The sequence below is a fragment of the Homo sapiens genome, chromosome 16 (assembly GCF_000001405.40).
Source record: "Homo sapiens chromosome 16, GRCh38.p14 Primary Assembly".
In the NCBI taxonomy this organism is placed as follows: domain Eukaryota; kingdom Metazoa; phylum Chordata; class Mammalia; order Primates; family Hominidae; genus Homo; species Homo sapiens.
Window position 1 is genome coordinate 68,353,334 of NC_000016.10, and position 21,899 is coordinate 68,375,232.

Consider the following 21,899-nt stretch of genomic DNA (forward strand, 5'->3'; position numbering starts at 1 on the left):
CAGAAACCGTTGTGGATCTTTGTTCTCTCTGAGCCCCTTCATACTTGGGGGTCTCTTTCAGGTGTGCAGGGAACAGCAAGATGTGCCTCTTGTTCTTGCTGCCACGCTTCCCTGTGTCCTGGCGGGCGGGTGTGGACGGGGCTGCTCCTTCCTCACAGGACCTGTGGCGGATCCGGAGCCCCTGTGGTGACTGCGAAGGCTTCGACGTGCACATCATGGACGACATGATTAAGGTAGGCAGGGCCACACTCTGCATAGTACCCCCGACCTGCTCCTGTATCGCAGGCCTCTCACAGGGTCCCAGCTTGGGCAGCACAGGCTCTTCTGTTGGGGGCAGTGAGGTCAGGTGCTGCCATTTTGTGTGGTTCAACATGAGCATTGCTTGGTACCAGCCCTGTTCTTGGCTCCGTGCTGTCACCCTGTGTCAGAATCTCCACTGGGCCTGCACGTCCTGTCATTGCAACTGCCCCTGCCAGTGCCCACAGCTTCTTTTCTAGTGGGGCTGACTTTCCAGAGGCCATCTGGGAACCTTCTTAGGCAGCCATTTCCATGGTGGGGGCTCCATTCCCGGGAGGGGTACCTGAGGAGATTCCCACAGGTTATTTACATGGTAGGGGTTAGCAACTGGGCCTACGTTCTCCAGAACCATGGGCTGTCCTGACAGCGCCAGTGGTCCTTGGATTCATGAGGACTGAAGCTGAGAGTCGTGTTCCATCCACATGAGAGGGGCAGGGTGAGGAGCATGGGCCGTGCTGTGTATTAAGGAAATGCACGTGGCTCCTGCTTGTCATCCCAGCACTCTGGGAACCTGAGGCTGGTGGATTGCTTGAGCCCAGACGTTTGAGACCAGCTTGGGCAATATAGCAAGACCCTGTCTCGACAAAAAATAACAAAAAATTAGCCAGGCATGGTAGTGCACACCTGTATTCCCAGCTACTCAGGAGGCTGAGGTGGGAGGATGGCTTTAGCCTGGGAGGTCGAGGCTGCAGTGAGCTGCGTTTGTGCCACTGCCTCCAGGCTGGGTGACAGAGCAAGACCTTGTCTCAAAAAAAGAAATCTCATGGACACCAGAGGAGCGGGAAGCAGCGGTGGCCCCGCAGCAGCAGCTATGCATCGGGAGGTGGGGCTTTTCTGCTTCTGCTCACCTTTCTGCTCTCATTTTCCCATAGTGAACATGGATTGCCTGTGTGTGAACACTTTTTTAAGTAAATTAAACCTTGTGGATATTTTCAGTTTGTATCTTATCTGCCCCTCACAGCAGACCATTGACTGTTCGATGCTTTTAGAAATCTCCTTCGTGCTGAGCCCTGCGTGCTCTGGACCCATGCGCTCTACGCCTCCTCTGGGCCCCTGCTCATGGCCTGCCCACCCTGGCTGTCCCTGTCCCCTCTTGCTGATACGGTTCTGCTACTCTGGTCCTGGGCCAGTGTCTGTCTCTCGTGTGCTAAGGCAGATGGCCGAGAGTGGTGGGTATCCCACAGTGGGGTGCCAGGCATTTTTACTTCTATGCTTTCCAAATCCACCTGCCCTTCCCCACCCTTAGCCTGGCCCTTCCAGTGCCCTGTCTTAGACCTGGCGCCACTTCACACGACCAGCCAGGCCCAGGGCCCCGGGCATCCTCCCTGGCAAGTCCTCCCATCCCCTGCCATTGGTCTTCGTGCTCCTGGTGAGCCTCCGACCCAGGCTGTCCCCTGACTGCTGCCGTCCTGGTTTGAGCCCCTCCTGCTCTGGCCGTCCTCCACACGGAGCCCACATGAACTTGTAGATCTGAGTCTGGCCACATCCCCACTGCAGGAATGCCCTAGCTGGCTCCCCACACCACACCTGCAGAGTGGCCCGGCTGGCCTGGGTGCCCTGGCCTGCTCTCCTGACTTAGCTCTATCCTCAAGGCCCCCTCTGGCCCTTCTCCTGCCGGCTCCCATTTGACCGTCACCTCCCCTCCTCCAGGTAGCTTTCTGCATCCCTCCTGGATGCAGGTGCCCCCAGCCTGCCGCCAGGCACCGGGGCTGTACTGTCACGCATTTATCCCTCCCTGTGGCCCGGGGCCCACCTGTCGGGGCCACACAGCTGTGGTGGTCACCAAGTTTCTAGGTGCTGGGTGTTCTCACCAGTGATGTAGATATGTGGTCCTCAGAAGGCTTGAGACAGGCAGCACCACCCCATCTTAAAAATCCGGAGAGCGAGGCTCAGAGCCAGCGGTGCCTGGGGAGCCACTGATGAGAGAGAAGTGGCAGAGAGGGGGCGCCGCTGGTCTGCTGGGCGCTCGGCATCTTTATGGGAGAACGCACACCCCTTGTGACTGCAGTCAGTGGGAGCCAAGCCGGGGAGCGGTACCTCTGTCTAGCTGCCGGCCTGTCTCTGCAGCCCCCAGGCCCCCTTCTGTTCGCAGCGTGCCCTGGACTTCAGGGAGAGCAGGGAAGCTGAGCCCCACCCGCTGTGGGAGTACCCATGCCGCAGCCTCTCCGAGCCCTGGCAGATCCTGACCTTTGACTTCCAGCAGCCGGTGCCCCTGCAGCCCCTGTGTGCCGAGGGCACCGTGGAGCTCAGAAGGTGGGTGCAGAGAGGGCTGGGGGGCAGGGAGGGGCTGCTGCTTGCCCTTGGAGTTCTCACCCCCGTGGTGAGCACAGCTGGCCTGGGAGACGCTGACACGTGGAGGGGGTATTCGTCCTCCCCACAACCTTGCCCTTCCCTGTCAGAGTGGCCCTGCGCGTGTGGTGGTTCCCACGGTCCTGTGTGTGCCACTGGTGGAGGAGCCAGGAAGGGCTCTGCTCCCCCTCTACAGCTGAGGCTCCCTTGTTGGATCACAGCTCAGGAAGATGGGAGCTTACTTCCTGTGGTCACCGATGCACCATTTTCCTGAACCCTCCTGGGAGCTGAAGCAGGTCAGGGTCAGCAAGTGCTGCTTGCGTCCAGGGACGGGCAGCCCTGTCCTGCTCCGGCCCTCACCCCACCCTCGCCCGAGGAGTGACTTCTCCTGGAAGCACCTCCCAACTCGGGGCAGGCAGCCAGGCAGGGCGGGCGCCATCACCTGAGCTCCCAGGGTTGCTGTCTGGGGCATCAGAGGGGCCTTCCGGCCTTCAGTGCCAGGCTGTGCCTCAAGCTCCCCCAGACCCTGCAGCCACACCGGCCCTGCCCCATGTGTGGCCCGGCTGCAGGGCTCGGGTTGGCTCAGGTGGGGGCTTGGCTGCGGCTCTTCTGGCTGGGGTTTTTCTGAGGAACGTTTATGTAACTGCAGCACTAGGAACTCCCGGCAGGGCAGGAAGGAAGTGGGGAAGACCACAGGTTTCTGGAAAGCCGCAGGAGCTGCAGCTGTTCCCCCGCTGCCTCTTGTGTGACTACTTCTGCTGGGCCCCCCTCTCCTTGACAGGCCCGGGCAGAGCCACGCAGCGGTGCTATGGATGGAGTACCACCTGACCCCGGAGTGCACGCTCAGCACTGGCCTCCTGGAGCCTGCAGACCCCGAGGTAGTGCCTGCGCACCGGGCCCAGTGTGCGTGCAGACCCTGAGAGCAGGCGCCGCCTGGGGAGGCCTCCCTGCCCCCATGCTCTGGGTGTTTCTGTCACAAGTTCTTCGGGCCAGATGATGACCCCTCAGTGGTCCTGGGCCATCTGGCCCCTGAGCAGCTTCTCTCTGCTGCGAGCTGCCTGGGCTGGAGGCTGGCTAGGAAGGAGGCTCAGGTGCCAGGGAGCCCTCACCATCTTCCTGCTCTTCTTCCTACAGGGGGGCTGCTGCTGGAACCCCCACTGCAAGCAGGCCGTCTACTTCTTCAGCCCTGCCCCAGATCCCAGAGCACTGCTGGGTGGCCCACGGACTGTCAGCTATGCAGTGGAGTTTCACCCCGACACAGGCGACATCATCATGGAGTTCAGGCATGCAGATACCCCAGACTGACCACTCTTGAGCAATAAAGTGGCCTGAGGGCTGGGGTTCTGAGTGGCTCATGGCTTTCTAGCGGGGAAGGCTGAAGGCCCTCCTCTCCTCTCTGGGAGCTGCTCGGCCTCAGGGATGGGAAAGACTGCGCCGTGTTGCATCTTGTTGCATCTTTGCACTGCTGGCCTCTGGCTCCAGCTGTGGCAGGAAGCATGAGAGGGTGACTGAATTTGGAGCCCTGGAGGGGCTGGGAAGACCCCCCTGCTTGTGCTTCTGAGGTGCTGAGAATGCTCCAACACAGAGACATCTCTCCCCAGCTGGGAAGGGAGTGGAAGCACAGGGAGCTTGTGGGGCTGGCCGGTGGGGTTGTCCACGCCGCCCTTGGCGAGCAGTCCCCGTGGCGGGAGCCTGTCCTGTCTGTCTCACTCTCGAGGATCTCCGGGTCCCTGCTCTTCTGGCTTCTGCTAGGAGGGTGGAGATGCTGAGTTGTGGCTGGGTCTCTGGGGCTTGAAGACCCTGGCTGGGCCCGGGCTGAGAGGCCTGGGTTCTGGCCCTTTCACCTGACAGGTAACTTCAAGCCACATCCATAGGTGTCTGGCCTCAGTGCTGCACCAGCTGGTGGCCTGCCAGGACCTGAGACTGGACACAAGGCAGCTGTCCCAGAGCAGTTCCTGAGATGCAGGCCCAGGAAAGTGGCTGTCAGGGGAGCTGGGAGGCAGCCCTGTTCCCTGCACCTCCCTCAGATTGGAAAGCCCCTCCTGCAGGTGGGGTATGGCAGGGAGCAGCCCCTGCCCAGCGCCGCTTCACCAGGAAGGTCAGTAGGTGCCGTGGCCTTGCTTCTCTCACACACTAACCCCCCTTTGGTTATGTCCCAGCTCTCAGAGGTAACAGCAGACACCACGTGAGAGAACCCAGTGGCCTCTGGCTCGCAGCTTAGAAGGTGAGGCTTGTGCCAGGCCAGCCGAGCCGCCTGTATGAGCAGAGTTCCGGTGTCCTCGGATTCAGGGCAGACTTGGGCAGTGCCTGTCCTGCAGTTGGGGGCAGGAACTCCCTCCCCTGCCCCCAGGCGTGCCCCTGAGGCCTGGCCCCAGCTTGTCGCTGAAATAAGTGGAGAACACCAGCCTTGAGCCTCACAGTTTTATTTTCTCCTCGTTATCCATCCTTCCTTTCAGCACCAGTAAGGAAAAAGAACACCTCTCTTCGCAAAATATTTTATCAGGTGTAAAGACTTGTTTTTCTTCTAGGGAAGAACCGTCTGGATATATATTTGATAATGTTTTTACCAAAACCATAGGTGTGCTTACCATAGAAAACCCCTAATGTCCCATGAAGATACAATACAGAAAAAAATACAGAAATTAAAAAAGTTTTTATAACAGTATTTCTAAATCTCAGCAAGTTAAAAAGCAATAGTTAAAAAGCATCAAGATTAATATACTTAAAACTTAAGGTGGTTTTGGACAAATGAAAATGAACATTTCCTTCCTCAGTGGCCCCCGCGCCTTGTGGCTTCCTTTGAGACTGGGCCTAGGGCAGGAACAGAGTCTTGGTATGGGCCTCGGGTGACCCGTGTGCCCACCCCTGCTAGGCCTTAGATGCCACAGAATCTGAGATCCAGCAATGGTTCACTTTAAAAAATCAGTGGAAGGGCCTGGCCTGCACACAAGGCCCGGGAGTCCATAGGCAGCCACAATGAGACACGTGGGTGGGGGGGTCCCGGTCTTGGTGCTGAGGGAGGTGTGCGGGGGCCTGGGGGCCGCACATCCTTACTCTGGACCCCAGGACCTGACTAGGCAGAGGCGACCTTGTGATGACAGAAAATGACTTGCCTAAGGCCGCCTGTGAGGTGGGAGGGGAGGAGCATGCAGCCCTGACTCCCACGCCTGCTGCCCCGGGAGGGGGTGCCTGGGTGGGGAAGCTATGTTGGGGTCTGGTGTGGGGGCCCTGCCCGGGCCTCAACTGCTCTCCCTGTGCAGGCAGTCGGCAGGCGGCTCGGGGTCTAGGGGTCCAGGGCCGGCCGGCCCAGTCGCTTGTGTGAGCAGAGTACCAGCTGCTTCTGGAAGTTGGGGGCCTCCACATCATGAATCCCAGTCAAGGCTCACAGGCCAGCCCCTTGGAGGGGTGGGCCGGGCAGAGAGCCCAGCAGGATGCTCGCCCTCAGCAGCCCCTTCCTGGCTCTGGACTCTGGAGGGGCAGGGCTTGGGCCCGGGCAGACGGTGCTTCCCAGGCCAGGTGAGTTCAGACAGGCCAGTGTCACAAGGACGCACGTCCTAGCGCCAGGCTCCCTGGGCTCTGCAGCGTTGTCTGCCCCAGCACAGGGCCAGGCATCTGGCTGGCTGCGTGGCCCCCTCTTGGTCCCTCTTGCAGCTCAATGGGTGACAAGGCACAGCATCAGGGCACCAGCACCAGGAGGGGCTGACAGCAGACAGCAGGTCCTGGTGCTCCCTCCAGCCTCACCAGGCAAAGCCGGCCCTGGGCCAGGCTGGGTGTAGGGCCAGGGCGCCACGAGGAGCGGAGGTCAGCGGGGATTGTCAAAAACAGTCCCTCAAGTTGAGTCTCGAACTTTGAAACAGACAAAACCTTCGCTGCATGACAGGAGCAGCCCTGGAGTCTCTTAAAGGCAGGTGGGCAGAGGCAGTGCTGCCGAAGGGGCCTGGGGGCTGTAGGCATCTTGGGGCTGGAGGCAGATCGGGGACCACAAGCTGTTGGCCAGCTCTGCCATGCTGAACTTGGGTGCCAGTACCACACCCTGCCCTGGGCATGCAGCAACTGTCAGCCTTGCTGCCCCAGCTTGCGCACTGGTGAGGGCCAGGCTGCTCTCTGCACCTTGGCTTCCTGCCTCCTAGGCCGGGGTCCCCTTGTGGCCTTGGTGTTGGCTGGGGTAGCTGTTGAGGATGGGCCTGGGAGGCCAGAGCCGCAGCCCCACCCGGGGGGCAGGCAGGGGTTCCTGAGCTCAGCCGGCACGCAGGTGGGGCACGTCCCCAGGGAGGGATTGGTCCCGAACCAGAGAGGTGTCCCGTGGGGGAGAGGATTGGCAGAAAGAAGAGGATGTGTTGGTTTTGATAGAAGAGAAGCTACAAATAGATTATTTTCAAAATCAGGATCCCCCCCACCCCCGTTTATGCTGTGAGTCCCTTCTTCCTGTAAAAAAAAAAGTGGATACTCTCTTCTCGGATCCCCGTTTATGGCTCCACTGCCCAGATGGGAGGCTCCCGGAGGAGGCCCAGGGTGCCAGAGCCTGCCAGACTCTGTTGTGCCTGAGCTGGGGAAGGGACCCTGTCTCGGGAAGAGCAAAGTTCTATGAGTGACTTACAGACCCTGTGAAGTGAGGGTTGGTTTTGTGATTAACCTTTTTCTGTTTTTCTTTTTAAAATGTAATTGCCCTTGAATGCGAGACCCTGGGAAGAGCCCTGGGCTGGCTGGTAGAGATGCAGCCCTCGGACCCTGCAGGAGCCGGCCCACACTGGAGGCGGGAGAGCTGGTGGCCGTGCCCAGGAAGTGCTTCTTTGGCTGGTTCTGATTGTGTTTGGAGTTTGGCCTTGGGTGAGGCCCGAGCAAGGGGTCTGTGGCTACAGCGTGGCACGTGGCATGCGGGCAGCGTGCATGCGAGGGTGCAGGCATGCGAGACGACATTGGCAGCAGACAAAAATAAAGAACCCTGGACGAAGCTTAAGAGGAGATACAGAGAGTACACGAACCCGGTCCTCATACTAACCCACGGGTTACAAACTCGGTTGTGCTGTAGATTTGTAGAAAATCGTGTTGTGAAAGAATGGCACTGGTTAGGCAGCTGGAGGCTCCTGGGGCGGGCCTGACTCCTCTGTCCACAGTGAGGCCCAGAGGCGCAGAGCAGCGCAGCTTCCAGGTTCCCGGGCACTGACTGTGGCTCCCTCCCTGTCCCTGCCCTCCTCCCCCAAGCACCGGGCACTCGATGGAGGGGACATGGCCCAGGGATGGGCTGCAGCTGCAAGGGCTGGCAGAGGCCCCGCTGCTCCGGACGGTCTATGCCTCCTCCTCCCCCGAAGACACCATCAGTCGCATGGCTACTGGCAGGTGGTCCGTCAGGCCGGACAGCTGGGTGATAAAACTGAATTCTTCCACCTCCTGGGGTGAGTGGGAGAGGGGAGAAACAGCCTGGTCAGATTCCAAGGGCATCTTGCAGGGAGCGGCCTGGGGATCCCCAAAGTGAGGCCCCGGGGCTGGGGTGGGCTGGGACCTTCCTGCAGTCAGAGGGATGGGGCCTGGAGGACCTGGGGCCCTAAGGGTCTGAGGGAGTGATGGGTATCATTGTAAGAGTGGCCTGGGGCGTGGGGTTTCAGGGAGCGGCTGTCGAGAGCTGCAGGGCCCGGGCCCTGCTCTCTCTTTGCATGGCCCTGGCTGCTGGGCCCTCCTGACTCACGGCCTTCCAGTCTGGGCACAGCCCCTCCTCTGCATGCAGCATGTAGTCGATGCGCCGGCCGTTGCCCTTCAGCAGCTCCTTCCGCCCCTTCTGGCCCGAGCTCTTGCTGGTGGGAAACGCCAGGTACTCCCTGCGGCCCTCCTCACTCTCCAGGACCCTGTCCACACATGCAGGAGGCAGGTGGGCCCCCATGCCCGCCCCTGTGGGCCTGGCAGGGGCTGTGTGTGGAGCCATGGTCTCCTCCCAGTGTGGGAGCGGGTGGGTGGGACCAAAGCGCTGGGTTTAAGATCTCTCCCCTGCGGGTCCAAAAAGGGCCTCAGCTGGGGGTAGGCCGAGTTGCCTGTGGGTTCCTGGCTGAATCTGGGCTCCGGAGCCCGTCGAAGTGTTCTGTCCGCCCCAGCCTGGCCAGCACTCACTTTCCCTTTCTGAACTCGGACAGAACTGATCCCACCCGTTCCCCAGAATGGGCTTCTGCCCTGAGCCAACAGGGGCCTGTTTTGAGGAGCTTGGTCTTTGCCATGAGTCTCGGGGACCCTTGTGACTGTTCCCAGGTTGACAGGAGCTGAGGGAGCCAGGAGAGCACCTCTGAGGAGTCTCAAATGGGGCTGTCCCTACGTGGCTGTGTGACTCTGCTTATGTTACCAAGCCTCCAAGCCTCTGTTTCCTCCTCTGAAACAAGAATGGTTGCTGTGGGCCCCAAGACGCTTCAGGGAACAGGCTGTCATCCCGCTTCTGAGTGAGGAAACCCATGATGGTGCTAGGGGATCCACAGGGAGGGCAGGGCGCTGGAGCAGGGGGATGTGACATCTGGAATCCCTTTCTGGCACTGTTGCCCTGAGACAAGCAGTATGCCCGTCTGCTTCCTGCCAGCCTGTCCCCTGGGGCCTCAGCACCACTGGGCCAGAGGCTTAGGACCCCCTCCTGGGAGCCCCCATTGCAGAGGGCAGGCTGGGGCCAGGGCCTGGGATGGCAAGTGCAGTGGTGAGAGACCCTGCAAAGGCCGCCAGGTCTGTGAGTGCCTGGACGGATGCAAAAGGGGCACCCGGCGAGGCAGGGCCTGCAAACATGGGCTTCCACAAGGTTTTCATCAGCCTTAAGATAAATACACTAATGACATTCAGGACATTGTTACAGCTCAGAAATGGAATCCATCACTGTCCTTTGCCCTTGATAATTAATTCCAGCATCAATGATCTGAGAGCTACTGGTAGTCATTTTTAAATCATCATCTCATAAAAAGAATTTTCTCAGCATAGGATGATGTTTCAAATTTAGTCTATAATCTAATTAATTGGCTCAAATTAGCTGCAAGGAACCATCGCTGTGACTGCAGTCTCGGGCTGTGAATTATAAATTGGTTCTGCTGTTGGCCTCTCAGATGTGTTCTTTATGGACATCTTACTGGGCTCAAGAATGAATTTTGGCTGGGATGGAACTGTCTCTACTTTGAAAATGGTCGGCTGTGTTATTGCAGCTGGTGTCTGTATTTGCCTGATTGGTGCTGCAAGCTGCCAGGCTGCCTTCAGCAGGCGCCGTACCCAGCAGCTCTTTCATGGGGGTCGACCTGTGGCCTGGCCCGGGGGAAATTCCAGGCCCTTTCCTGTACCCAGCAGGCAGGGGCTCGGGGCAGGGCTAGCTCCTGAAAACAGGTTTGGGAAATACCCCTAGAGATTTAGCAAGGCCAGTACCCCTGGGCGTGAGGGCGTGAGGTCTACCTGCCTGGCCCAGCTCCCAGCTCTCAAAAGCTCTCAAAGGTGAGATGAGGGACAGGTTTCTGCCAAATAAAAGCCCTCATGAGCCCGAGCTGAGCTCTCCCATGTGGGTCCTGCCCAGTCCCTGTCTCCACCTTAGTCAGGGTGTGCCTCGTCCCTGGCCTGGGAGCGCAGTGCTTACTTCTGCAGGTTGTCGGGGGTGCACACATCCTCATCGTACAGGCCGTTCGTGTCCAGCAGAGTACCTGGGGGGGACGAGGGGGTGACAGTGGTCGCTGCAGGCAGGGCCCAGGCAGCCTCTAGGGGGTGGCCTCTGTGGGTGGACACGGGCTTCTGCTAGCCAGGGGCAGCTGAATGGGGCCCTTCCCCAGCAGTGGGGTCTTGTGGGGTAGGTCCTGGTGATCTTTGAGGGAAGTCTGTGGGGAGCCCAGCTCCCATCCTCCTCCCCCAGCCCCAGCTCACCGATGGCCCACGGCTTCTCCTCACCAGGCCCCAGGCGGCAGGGGTCCCTGTAGTGGGTGAACAGGGAGTGTTGCTGCTCCAGCTTGTCGTCTGTGCGGGGAGGGAGGAAACGCTGAGGCACCAGGGGGCTTTGCTGTCCCACACGGCCTGTGCCCCTGCTTCCCATCAGTTACTCCCCATGTGCTGCCAGGCCCCCATCCCTTAGGCCACTGCCCCTGGGTGGGATCTCAGTCCCATTCAGGTGCCCCGTGCTTCATTTGTCGCTGCTTTTCTGTGTCCTTGAGAACACCTCCCCCAGCACACGCCCTGATCTTCAGCATTCCCTCTGAGGACAGTGACAGTGACCACGGTCCTCGGACAGAGGAAGGAAGGTCCCCACAAGGTCCATGTGGTCATCGGATCCACAGATCAGTTATTTACAGCAAGTGTTTGCTGTTTCACTGATGACGAGCTTGTAGTCTTTCACCCTAATGGTTTAAGGTGCAATTCCCAGGGTTCAGATCCCAGTGCAATCACTGCCTGGCTATGTGACCTTGGGCTGGTTCTCCAGCCTCTCTGAGTCTCAGCTTCCTCCACCACACCACGTGGAGACATGCAATGCTTCCCTCTCAGGGTTGTTAAGACACTTAAGTGAAACAGCGATAGAATGGCAGCTGGCTCGAAGCAAGAGCGCGGCGCCCCGTTGATGGGTGTTACTAGTGGACTCGTCCTTTGTCTGCTTCAGAGGCCCCCAGCCTTCCTTGTCAGAGGTTCGTTTTTAGGGCATCTCTGTCTCCAGCTTTCTAGGCAGAGCGTGGGCTCTTCCTGTTCTAGGATTTCTAGGGGGCAGAGAAATCAGTCTTGCTAAATACCCCGCCCACATGCTCTCGAGGAGCAGGAATTCTTTGAGCTGCCTAACGAAGTCTGTCTAGCTGTGACTGAGCCCACAGCCTCCCCAGAGCTGGAGACCTGAGTGGGGAGGAGCCCGGCCTCACCAGAGGAGCAGTTATCAAAGTTGAAATCTCCACAGACGACGTCAAATGCCACCAGCTCCTCGGGGTTGGCTGCGCTGGACGAGGAGGTAGATTTTCGGAAATCAGCCAGCCAGTCCTGAAGCAGGTCCAGCTGCCCACACCGGATGGCGCTGTCCTCTGCAGGGCAGAAGTACAGAGACTGGATGATGAAGTTCGCCCCAGACCCCAGCTAGGCCCCAGGCACTGATCCCATGCCTAGAAAAAACACAGGTGGGCGGCAACCCTACCTTGCGGGGCATGCAGGTGTGTGCAGGCGATGTACCCGACGATTCTTTGGTCCTGAGGTGTGCTTCCCACCTGCACCTGGGGGAGGAGGGGGTCAGTGCTGCCACCTGCCAGTCACTGTGGCCCTGAGAGCACAGGACACTGGCAGTGCCCACCCACCCATGAGGTCAGACCCTCACAAGCCTGGCTCCTGGCTGGATTCTGGGGTCCGAGTAGGGACAGGATGTGTCCTGCTTCTAGGGACTTACGGATCTGGGCCAGAGGCGGGTGCTGAAAGAAACTATTGGCCTGTGGCGTGGGGAGTGCTGGCGGCCATCTGTGCAAAGCATGGGGGAAGTGCCGAACCGCAGCAAGGCTCCCCGGAGGCCCAGGCCCTGCCATCTCCCAGTGACCAGCGTGGCCACGGCTCTCAGTTCCTTGTCCAGTCCTGTCTGTGGCTCTTTCCTCCCTCCCTCAGTTACACCCTAGACCTGGTCACACCCTGGTGCTTTCTCCCCCTGAAATCTCAGGGGGTTGCCCCTGTGCCATGGCGTGGCCTCAGAGCCCACCCCACACAGCAAGAGGCCCAGACCCTGCCCCTCCTGGCCTCGTCGCCTTCTGGCTGCATGGTGAGTCATCTGCTTTATAGGCCGTGGTCCCGTTGTCACCCGTCTTGGATGAGAGCTCCCTGACCTGTGTCCTAGGCTGGCCCCTGCACACCCCTGGCTCCATCCTGAGCCCACTGTGGCAGCATCCTCTTCAGGTCTCCCCTCTGCCCCGACCTCCTGCTTACCTCCTTTACCCAAGACGGAGCAGGTGACCCTGGCAGGATCCCAAAGGCTGGCTTAATACAAATTAGCATCTCCACTGTACCCTGCAGGCAATTCATAACTGCCCTACCCCAGGTGGGGGCAAGATGGAGCCCTTGTCAGTGCTCAGCCCAGGAGAGGTGAGGGATGGCCACAGAGATGCCCTGCACAGAGAGGCCGCTTACCAGCTCCTCATCCCCTGCCCCTGGGATTCCTTCCCTCCTGTGCCTCTGTACCCTCCCCAAGCCATGCAAATCCATTCCAGACTGAGTTTCCCAAGATGAGGAGACCCCAGACCCAAAAAGCACTCCAGGGAGGTGGCTGGGCAGGACACACTGCCTCTCCCAGTTGTTGGCTGAGGGCAGAGGGCCGCAGGGTGGGTGCCCCACATCTGTGGAGCTCACAGCAGCCCAAACGTCACAGCCCATCTGCTCCAACAGCCTCGGCAGGCTCCGTCCTTCCTTCACTGCTGCAGTCGGTCAGGCTGGTATTATCTCCTCCATCTGGACGTCCTCAGCAGCAGGTGCCCCTGGCTTTCTACAGCTCTTCATCCCCTTCCCAGCCCTAATGCACAGCCTTCCTTCCCCAGCACCTGGGGGTACGAACGTCTGGCTGTTCAGCCCCACAGGTTCACCATTCACTTCTTGCCCACAGACAGACCCAAACCTTAGCCTAACAGCATCCCCGCCCCCCGAATGGCTCTGTGAGATCACGCAGCATTGATGGTTCTGCTGCAAAAACAAAACACTGATGAAGCCGCCATGCTCAAAAGGCCACATGAGGCTGAGCACGGTGGCTCACGCCTGTAATCCCAGTACTTTGGGAGGCCGAGGCAAGTGGATCACCTGAGTTCAGGAGTTCGAGACCAGCCTGGCCAACATGATGAAACCCCATCTCGACTAAGAATACAAAAATTAGCCGGGTGTGCTGGGCACAGTGGCTCACACCTGTAATCCCAGCATTTTGGGAGGTTGAGGCAGGCAGATCACAAGGTCAGGAGTTTGAGACCAGCCTGACCAACATGGTGAAACGCTGTCTCTACTAAAAATACAAAAATTAGCCGGGCGTGGTGGTATGTGCCTGTAATCCCAGCTATTCAGGAGGGTGAGGCAGGAGAATCGCTTGAACCTTGGAGGCGGAGGTCACAGTGAGCCAAGATCATGCCACTGCACTCCAGCCTAGGCAACAGAGTGAGACTCTGTCTCAAAAAAAAAAAAAAAAATTAGCTGGGTGTGCATGCCTGTAACCCCAGCTATTCAGGAGGCTGAGGCAGGAGAATCCCTTGGACCTGGGGGGCGGAGGTTGCAGTGAGCCAAGATCGCCCCATTGCACCACTCTGGCCTGGGCGACAGAATGAGACTGTCTCAAAATAAATAAAAGACCACACGGGGGCGCCGTCTTCAGGCAACAACTGCTCCTCCTCCATGAGGATCATCTCAGGCCCAGTGGGCTCGTGCTGGGGTGGGGTGGCGACGCATGGACATTACTTTTCTGGGTCCTTACAACGGCTCAGGCACATGATAAAGTGATGCTGCTTTTACCGTTGAACACACTGAGGCCAGAAGTTGAGTTGTGGGCCGGGGTCACAGGCTCACATGGTCTAAGAGGCAGCTTCCAGTCGGATCTGTTTGTCGTGCGCTGCTGTGCGCTGCTCTGCGCTGCTTTCTGAGGGGCTGGTGTCTTTGCGGTTTCTCCCCGGCCGCCTGTTTGTTGGTCTTAAGGCGTCAGCCTCTCACTCATCCAACACTTGGTGTCACCTGCCCCGCGCTGTGTCCCGGACAGGGTTGGACACTCGCAGGGAGGCCTCAGACTGGGCCCTGCACGACAAGAACCCACTGGCCGGAGGAGTGACGAGGTCCTGCTCCCTCCCGCCCCGCTTCTCCCTCCTCATCTGCCGTGTGATCTCACCAAGATCCACTTGATTATTTGCTGGGCCTCATTGATTCCTGGCTCGTGGCCTTGGGAGCCGCAGAGCCTTGTGTTTCTCTTGCAAAAACAAGCAATCACACGAAAGGCTGTGCCTTTGAGTCCTGGCGGGCAAAGACTGTCAACGGAAGAGGTGTCCAGAATAAGGCTCTATTGTAGGTGAGGAAAAAGGGATTCCAGTCCCTTCCTTCACAGAGCCACATTTCCCTGAAGGCTCTGAAGTCCCATACGGGAAACCATGAGGGCCTTCCGGGAAGGAGGGGACCGCTGATTTCTGCAGCGAGTCCCTCCAGCGTCCCGGCCCCTCTCCGGCTGGGCCTGTCCCCAAGGCAGCCCCACGTACTTCACTTCTCCGCGCTGGGATCCGCGTGTGCTGGGCACACCACAGCTCTGCTGTCCTGGTGCTCTGTCTGATGGACAGACAAGACCCTGGGCACGAGGGCAGAGGAGCCCATGAAGGGAAGAGAGGATTGTGTGGCTGGCCGCTGAGGGAGCTCCATGAGGTGGTGTGGCCACACCCAGTGTGGGACCAAGACAAGCAGGGGCCAGGGGTACAGGAGCCCCTCATCGGGGTTGTGGCTGGGGCAGAGCTGGAGCTAAGGGTGGCGGGGGCAGGGGGGCGGGAGGTGGTACAAGGTGACGTTCAGACTTCCTGAGGCAGTGGAGGGCATAAGAGGAGTCACACCTGGCCTCAGACGAGGAGGGTGGCTGAAACCACAGCAGGGCTGATGCAGAGGAGGGGGCCTGGGCCAAGGGAGCTGGAGATGTGGGGTGCACCCAGGGCCATCTGGAAAGTGAGCTAGGGGCCTGGAATGGATGGGTCGGGCACAGGACAGAGCAGCCAAGGTGGTCCTTCTGGCTTCAGGATGGCAGAACACAGAAGAGGAGCAGCCCGGGGCAGAGGCTGAGTCTGGTTTGCGAGTGAATGGGGATGTGTCCTGGAGGCAGCCAGATGTAGGGCTGGGGGGAGAGGTCTGGGCCAGGACAAAGCAGAGGGGCCTCAGAAAGGGCAGAAATGGAAGCTGCAGAGTCTCACTCCCAGGCAGGTGTCATGATGGTTGCTGGGAAACCCCACTGCGGGGCAGCCAACCACGGCTCCAGCTCACTGCAGCCGCGTGGGGTACGGAATGTGGCAGGCCTGGGGCTGCTGAGAGAACCTGCAAACCGGGTTTTCTGTGAAATATCTTGATTTTAACATATTGGTCAAGGCTGGGTATGGTGGCTCACGCCTGTAATTCCAGCACTTTGGGAGGCCGAGGTGGGCAGATCACCTGAGGTCGGGAGTTTGAGATCACCCTGACCAACACGGTGAAACTCCGTCTCTACTAAAAATAAAAAATTAGCCAGGCGTGGTGGTGCATGTCTGTAATCCCAGCTACTTGGGAGGCCATGGCAGGAGAATTGCTTGAACCCGGGAGGCAGAGGTTGTGGTGAGCCGAGATCGTGCCACTGCACTCCAGCCTGGACAACAAGAGTGAAACTCCGTCTCAAAAAAAAAAAAAAAAAATTGGTCAATACAAAAAATTTTTGAATGTCATAGATCAGGTTACAGTTTGAGACCCAGGAGGTAGAGGAAGATGAAAAGAACTTTCAGGACAGAACCTGGGAGGAGGGGCTGTCCCAGGCAGACACTGTTGAGCTCAGTGGGAACAGTGAGGGTGCCCCACAGAGGAGGGAGGTGGGGACAGGATGTGTGGATTGATCTGTGCAGAAGTGGGCTGGGGTAGGGGGCGGGGGAGGGCCCGGCCTCTGAGCCACCTGTAGTAGGGTGGGAGTGAGGGGTGGGAGTAAGGGGCACATCCTCCCACCCTGGACCTGGCAACACATCCCCTTCCTCCCCAGAAAGTCACTCTAGCTGTCGAGACAAAAATATATCCAGGGAACAGAACACCAACGGACCATATGCCAAAATGGGAAGGTTGGATCTATCTGTCAGGAGTTGCTTCAATTTCAGCATCCCTTGCTGTGAATGAAGAGCAGAGGACCCAAACTCTGGGCCTGGCAGAGCCACACAAGAGCCATGGACGAACCAGAAGTGGGGGCCAGGGCCCTTGCTGCCTGCCCTGGCTCCCATAGGGCTTGAAGACAAGCTCTGCCACTCATGGCAGGCGCCAGGTTGCGCACCAGTGTTTCCCTGGGCAGGCGGAGTGTGGTTGCTTCTGAAGGCGAACTGGGAAGTGAGGAAACCTGCCCTAGGCAGGCCTCTGAACCGCAGCCCTCCCTGCAAAGCCACCACTTTTTCATGTCTCACCCTAAAGGGACAGAACCCACATCTGAAACAGCTGCTGCCTCTCAGGGCAGAAAGCCCTGTGCTGCATCCACTGGCCAAATGACACTTCAGAAAACCGTGGAAGCACCATGAGCGGCTTTTGGATAGAGAACAAAAGTCGACACTCTGAGCATCTCAGGCGCAGTAGAAGATAATGTGTAATGACCAAATTACCACAGCCTAAAAACTCCTCCAATCGAATCCAAATTAGCAGAAATAATTATGATTCACTTTAATTAGTGACTATGGAAGCGAAACCATGGCTGGTGGGCAGACAGCCTGGCAGGGCAGCTGCACGACAGCCAGGAGGGAGGGGTGTCCAGGCCAGGGAAGCTAGTGGCCTCAGTGAGCCAGGCGGTGTCACGGCCTGGAGACCTGAGGGTCCCGTCTGCTTGCCTGATGCGCTTGGTCTGGGCTGGTCTCTCTGCCTCGTTATGAACCGACAGGGCCCCTACCTCCTGTTCTTCCTCACTTTATCACTGCCACCATCTCCACGGCTACCACCGCCACTCTTGCGCCAGCTCGGAACCCTTCCCAGGCCTTACTGCTCTGTTCCACTCCCACCCTCTCTCCACTTTACAGTTGGGGAAATGGTGGCTCAGAGATCTGAGGAACGGGCCCAGATCACCCAGATGGGTCTGTCTGAGCCCAGAGCCTCGGTGCTCATCCCTGCATTGGTCTTGACCCTGTCCCCGAGCCAGGGCCCTGCTGTTTGGCTCCAGGAAAGACCGCGTCTGCCTCCCACTCCAACCTCCCACTCCAGCCCCCATGACGATGAGGACTCCCCGCTGCAGCCCCCCTGCCTACATGGCTCTAGGACCAGCTGGCACGTGGTCCTCAGGCTGGGCCGAGGTCTCCTACCTTGAGAAACAGAGCTCCCTTAGAGGCCAGGGCATCGTCGTTACACTTGTTGGGGTAACAGTGATAGGCCACGTCCATGATGGGGTAGCGGCTGGCAAAGAGGAGGCCGCTGTTGAGACACTTGAAGCTGCAGCAGCCCTGGCAGCCGTAGACCCCGACGTCGTACAGGATGTACTCGAAGTAGCCGTGCAGCTGCTCTTTCAATTTGGTGGCTGCTCGCTTGTCAAACACCTCCTGCAGGCACAGGAAGTCCAGGTTGGCGGGGAAGAAGGCGGAGACCTCATGGTCGAAGGCCTCGTCGGGGTGCCGCCTCCTGCGTGCAGCCGCCTTCTTCACCACCGAGGCCTTGTACAGGAGCTTGCTGTTGGCACCTGGCTCCCCGCTGGCACTGGTGTCTGGCCCAGCTCGCCCCTTCACCAGGGACTCCCGGGAGGCCGAGGGGCTGCCCAGGCTCCCTGAATCCCCGTCCTGCTGATTATGGTTGGGCGTCTGGCCCCTTGGGCCCCCGCCAGCTCCGTTCCTGGCCTGGCCCCCAGGCACAGGGTCGTCAGCTTCAGGTGGCCGGCCGCCCTCCTCGCCACCGATGCGCACGATGCAGGCATCCTCCGGGCTGCTGCTGTCGACAGGGTCCCCAGAGGCTGGGCCGTTGGCAGCCTCGTCACCGGGGTGCCGCCCACCGTCACCCTTGTACTCCACAGAGGCTGTCCTCTTAATGCTCCCGGGGACGGCCCGGGCCACCCCATCGCCGCCCTGTGGTGACACCAGGCTGCTGAAGCTAGCGGCGCTGATGGAGGTATTGGTGGGGGAGTCGATGTAAATTTTGATCTGGGGCCGGGCGGCCCCATTGCGGATTCTCTGCCCGATCTCCTTGGCCCGCGCTTGGGTGTTAAAAAGGTTGTTGACCCTGGCGAGTGAGTCGGGCAGGAGGCAGACGTTGGCAGTGGCAAAGCAGAAGCTTTTGCCAGGCCCCGTGCCCTTCCATTCACTGAGCAGGGCTGCCCCACCGGCCAGGCCCTTGTCTTCCAGCCGTGAATAGATGTAGGGCCGGCGGGCCGACTGCAGTGGGGACCAGAAGAGAAAGCCGAGAAACGCAAAGGGCAGCGAGGCCACCAGGAGGGCCAGGTAGATGGGCGTGAAGAGGGCAGTGCAGAGCAGCTGCAGGCAGCACGGGTCGTCTGCCCGCTGGCGCTTCTCGTAGGTGGTGGGTATGAAGGAGGCAGCGAGCCGGTCCACCAGCCAGTAGCATGGAAAGATAAGGGCCCAGGACACACAGTGCAGGGCGGACAGACAGCTGTTAGGAAAGGGGGTCGTGTACAAAACCATCGCAGCTCACTGGGCGCCGCAGCCGGCCCTACTACATGGTGTCCGTGGCAGCTGCGGGCACTTTCCTGGGCGAGGGTGGGCGAGTTGGGGGCAGCTGGAGGAGGGGTCACCTCCTGGCGAGATGCAACTCCGGCTGGTCAATGGCGAATGTTGGCCAGCCGGTCATGGTTCACCTCGGTGGGCCATGCGGAGGCCTACTGCAGACCCTGCAGAGACAAAAGTAGGGGGACTGTTTTTAGTGATCTTCAGGGGAGTGGGTCAGATATGGGGCCTTTGCCCCAGCTCATCCCACTCCTGCTTCCCCTGGTGTGAGTGGGACAGTTCTGAGAACCAGGCTGGAGCTGGCAGGCTCAGCAGGTGGCTGGGAGACAGCCCCCGCACACCGCTTCCTCCATGTATGCTGTTCTCTTGGAGCGAATAGCTTGGTGATATGACTGCCCCTAACTAACCATCTTGACCTTGTAACCCAATTGCTTGAAAAATGGTCCTGGTTTTCAGAGACTTACAGATTTGTGGGTGCAAAGGGAGCAGGCAGGGCATCCTAGAGGATGCCTGGGCCCACCCTGACCGGGGGCCGCCGGAAGCCCATCAGGAGCCAGGGCAGTTTTTAGAATGAGAGGGCAGGTGACCCTGGGTCAGAGGAGCCACAAACATGGCCACTTGTCATGGAGTGCCTGCCAGCTAAGGACAGAGCAGGAAAAAACAGCAGAGCAAAGGGGCCAGAGACTCCTGGAGCAGAGGGCAGTGTGGCCAGCAGGGCCGCAGGGGAGGGCGGTCCCCCTCCATGCACAACCGGGCTGTCACTGTGGCCCCAGCCTGCAGGATCACACCAAGCCTGGTGCTTCCACTCCACTGACCGCGGGAGAAACCCCCCAGCAATGAGGATCCAAGCGCAGCCTGCGTCTTACCAACTTCCAGAACCATCAGAGTTCCCCTGACAGTCCCTGTGACTTTTGGAGAAGCTCCCTGGGGCTGTGTGGGTCTGGCCCAAGCTTTAACCGCTGTCCCTCATGTACTCCAAGATGCAGCCCAGTCGAGACCCACAGCCATCTGAATAAGCCCACCCTGGGTCCCCTGTGGGAGCCACAAGTGGGTCTCAGAGCAGACTCAGAGCTCCACCTAGGCAAGGCTGCCAGGTGCATCTATTGTGCTGAATGTAAAATCAATAAAGACAAGCTTCTGGAGTGTTTGCCCAGTCTCCGGGGACCCACGTGTGATCACCCCGTCGGGGAGCCTATAGAAGCGTAACCCAGACTTTCCATGACTGGAGCAGTTGGGCCACTCTTTTCCCACCCACTGTCTTGCTGACTCAGCCCAGCTCCTGCCCTGGCACTTTGGGGGGTCTGAGCCCACGGTGCCATCCATCCTGGCCCCACACCCTCTCCTCCTCCTGAATCCCTGGTCACCCAAGCCAGGGACCTAGGTGTCACTGGACTCTGCCTTTCCTCAGTCCCCATCAGTCCCTGCCACTCCTGCTGGACCCCCTGCACCGGCCTGGGACTGCATCACGGTTCCCCAACTTTATCAGCCTCCACAAGGGCTGCAGGGATGCTCTCTATGTAGTCCGCTGTGTCACAGCTGCCTCACACCTACTGGAACTCCCTCAGCCCTTAGTGGGGAGCTCAGCCCCTCTGTCAGGCCTGCGGGTCTCTGCAGCCCCCTCCCCTGGACGCCCGCCTCTCACTTGTGTCCCGTCCCTGCCTGCCATTCCCCATCCTCTGCCCCTCGCCTCGCTCACCCTTTCTAAGACTCAACTTAGAAATTCCCTCCTTAGAAGACTTTTGGACCCCTTGCCCCGGTGGCTTAGGTGTCTCCACCGGTGGCTCTCATCCCCGCCACGTGTGGCCTGGTCTCTGCAGTTCTGTATCACAAATGCTCTGGGATATGGCCACCTGCCCAGCAGACCGCAAGCTTCAGGAAAGAATAGGCTGCACAGGGGCGCCCTAGAGTCCCAGGCTTGCACCAGCAGGTATGCAGGACATGGGGGATGAGGGGAGGTTCACCTGGATGCCTCCAGCCAGAGAGGGGGCAGCTGTTTTCCCACCAACCCGAGGTGTGCGGAGGGGGTTTCTGTGGGGCATGTCAGAGGCCCCAGGGCAAGTCTGCAGTCACCATCTCCAGGGCTTAGCGTCTAAAGGTGAACTTGAGCTGGGGCTGTATCTGGTTCTGATAAGCAGCTTCACAAGGCTGTCACTCTCCTCAGGGGAAATGCCTTTGAAGCCAACACTGGACGGGTGCAGTTTGGAGCAGCATGTGTATCTGTGCAGACCACAGCGGGGCAACCTGGAGCCATGGGAAAGCAGCTCTGTGCTGGGCCTCAGTGAAATCTGGGACATGGGCATCTCACTCTGCGGCCAGTGCTCGTGGCTCAGTGCTCAGCGGGACTGGTGGGTGTCCAGGTCCACCCCCGCCTGCCATCTGGCTTGGGAGACTCCAGGACGTACTCCCTCATTCTTTCTCTAAAATCCCAGCAATTGCTGCAAGATGAATCAAACCTGCAGAGGGAGCGACAGCCCACTCACTCTCCCTCCCAGGCTGGAGGGTTCCCCCCCAGCAAACCTGCAGCCCTCATTGTGTGGAGCCGGCTGTCTTCACACTGGCTGGACTGACATCCACAGGAGGGGACACAGAGTCACCCACAGGCACCTGTCTCTGGTGGACCAGCTGGGGCCAGAGGGAGAGCTTGCAGGTCCTGTCCCTGTGGGGACAATGGGGGCGGGATGGGGGTCTCTCAAGGCTCTCCAGCCACCAATAGTCCCTGCAGTTGGCACTAAGGCCTCAGGTTAAAGGTCCAGGCCAGATTCTTGGGGCCACCTGGACGTCACCCCAATGTCATGAAGCAGGCCCATTCCTGAGTCACCCTCATCTCTGTGGCCTGAGGTCACCAGCCCAGCCTGGCCAGCACCATCCTCACCTGAGCTCCTGCCTCACCCCGGCACTGCCCTGTTGCCCTCAGCCTCAGCCACAGCCCCAAGCCCACCACCAGTGTGCAGCGGGTCCTCCCAGACACAGCCGATTCTCTCTCTCCCTTTGGTGGTCTCACTGTCTTGG

At 59.4% G+C, this 21,899-nt stretch overlaps 2 protein-coding genes across 75 annotated transcripts in view, besides 7 other annotated features; one reads left to right on the forward strand and one right to left on the reverse strand.

Moving 5' to 3' along the window:
- PRMT7 (protein arginine methyltransferase 7) overlaps positions 1 to 7,537 on the forward strand; it is a 49,852-nt gene extending 42,315 nt beyond the window's left edge. For 17 of the 63 annotated variants that reach the window (NR_165371.1, NR_165368.1, NR_165367.1 and 14 more), the window contains 4 exons: positions 159 to 233; positions 2,390 to 2,550; positions 3,368 to 3,464; positions 3,721 to 5,251. Coding sequence is in view for 45 of the 63 variants with exons in the window: in XM_047434224.1 (XP_047290180.1) it covers positions 159 to 233; positions 2,390 to 2,550; positions 3,368 to 3,464; positions 3,721 to 3,891 (504 nt within the window). In the remaining 18 variants the exon portion in view is untranslated. Of the gene's footprint in view, positions 1 to 61; positions 234 to 2,389; positions 2,551 to 2,696; positions 2,883 to 3,367; positions 3,465 to 3,720 lie in introns of those variants that run through there. The other 46 variants (XM_047434218.1, XM_017023292.3, XM_047434229.1 and 43 more) reach the window with 13 other exon arrangements.
- Positions 3,259 to 3,418: an enhancer, noted in NCBI's record as "active region_11013". NCBI's record gives its function as "activates an Ori minimal core promoter by ATAC-STARR-seq in GM12878 lymphoblastoid cells {active_cell/tissue: GM12878}" and the evidence as "EXISTENCE:reporter gene assay evidence [ECO:0000049][PMID:35858748]".
- The window catches only part of SMPD3 (sphingomyelin phosphodiesterase 3), a 90,182-nt gene continuing 73,276 nt past the window's right edge, over positions 4,994 to 21,899 (reverse strand). For 9 of the 12 annotated variants that reach the window (NM_018667.4, XM_011523207.2, XM_047434339.1 and 6 more), the window contains 7 exons: positions 17,526 to 19,054; positions 11,684 to 11,759; positions 11,418 to 11,573; positions 10,444 to 10,533; positions 10,163 to 10,226; positions 8,270 to 8,426; positions 4,994 to 7,974 (listed from right to left, as the gene is read on the reverse strand). In NM_018667.4, the coding sequence (NP_061137.1) occupies positions 7,873 to 7,974; positions 8,270 to 8,426; positions 10,163 to 10,226; positions 10,444 to 10,533; positions 11,418 to 11,573; positions 11,684 to 11,759; positions 17,526 to 18,848 (1,968 nt within the window). In that variant the 5' untranslated portion in view covers positions 18,849 to 19,054 and the 3' untranslated portion in view covers positions 4,994 to 7,872. Of the gene's footprint in view, positions 7,975 to 8,269; positions 8,427 to 10,162; positions 10,227 to 10,443; positions 10,534 to 11,417; positions 11,574 to 11,683; positions 11,760 to 14,010; positions 14,514 to 17,525; positions 19,055 to 21,407; positions 21,547 to 21,899 lie in introns of those variants that run through there. The other 3 variants (XM_047434341.1, XR_933371.3, XM_011523210.3) reach the window with 3 other exon arrangements.
- Positions 9,235 to 10,047: an enhancer, noted in NCBI's record as "H3K4me1 hESC enhancer chr16:68396471-68397283 (GRCh37/hg19 assembly coordinates)". NCBI's record gives its function as "activates a minimal SCP1, AML or CMV promoter by ChIP-STARR-seq in primed H9 embryonic stem cells {active_cell/tissue: H9 hESC(primed)}" and the evidence as "EXISTENCE:reporter gene assay evidence [ECO:0000049][PMID:30033119]".
- Positions 10,048 to 10,859: an enhancer, noted in NCBI's record as "H3K4me1 hESC enhancer chr16:68397284-68398095 (GRCh37/hg19 assembly coordinates)". NCBI's record gives its function as "activates a minimal SCP1, AML or CMV promoter by ChIP-STARR-seq in naive and primed H9 embryonic stem cells {active_cell/tissue: H9 hESC(naive and primed)}" and the evidence as "EXISTENCE:reporter gene assay evidence [ECO:0000049][PMID:30033119]".
- Positions 13,656 to 14,209: an enhancer, noted in NCBI's record as "H3K4me1 hESC enhancer chr16:68400892-68401445 (GRCh37/hg19 assembly coordinates)". NCBI's record gives its function as "activates a minimal SCP1, AML or CMV promoter by ChIP-STARR-seq in naive H9 embryonic stem cells {active_cell/tissue: H9 hESC(naive)}" and the evidence as "EXISTENCE:reporter gene assay evidence [ECO:0000049][PMID:30033119]".
- Positions 14,210 to 14,762: an enhancer, noted in NCBI's record as "H3K4me1 hESC enhancer chr16:68401446-68401998 (GRCh37/hg19 assembly coordinates)". NCBI's record gives its function as "activates a minimal SCP1, AML or CMV promoter by ChIP-STARR-seq in naive H9 embryonic stem cells {active_cell/tissue: H9 hESC(naive)}" and the evidence as "EXISTENCE:reporter gene assay evidence [ECO:0000049][PMID:30033119]".
- Positions 15,189 to 15,388: an enhancer, noted in NCBI's record as "active region_11014". NCBI's record gives its function as "activates an Ori minimal core promoter by ATAC-STARR-seq in GM12878 lymphoblastoid cells {active_cell/tissue: GM12878}" and the evidence as "EXISTENCE:reporter gene assay evidence [ECO:0000049][PMID:35858748]".
- Positions 16,353 to 16,542: an enhancer, noted in NCBI's record as "active region_11015". NCBI's record gives its function as "activates an Ori minimal core promoter by ATAC-STARR-seq in GM12878 lymphoblastoid cells {active_cell/tissue: GM12878}" and the evidence as "EXISTENCE:reporter gene assay evidence [ECO:0000049][PMID:35858748]".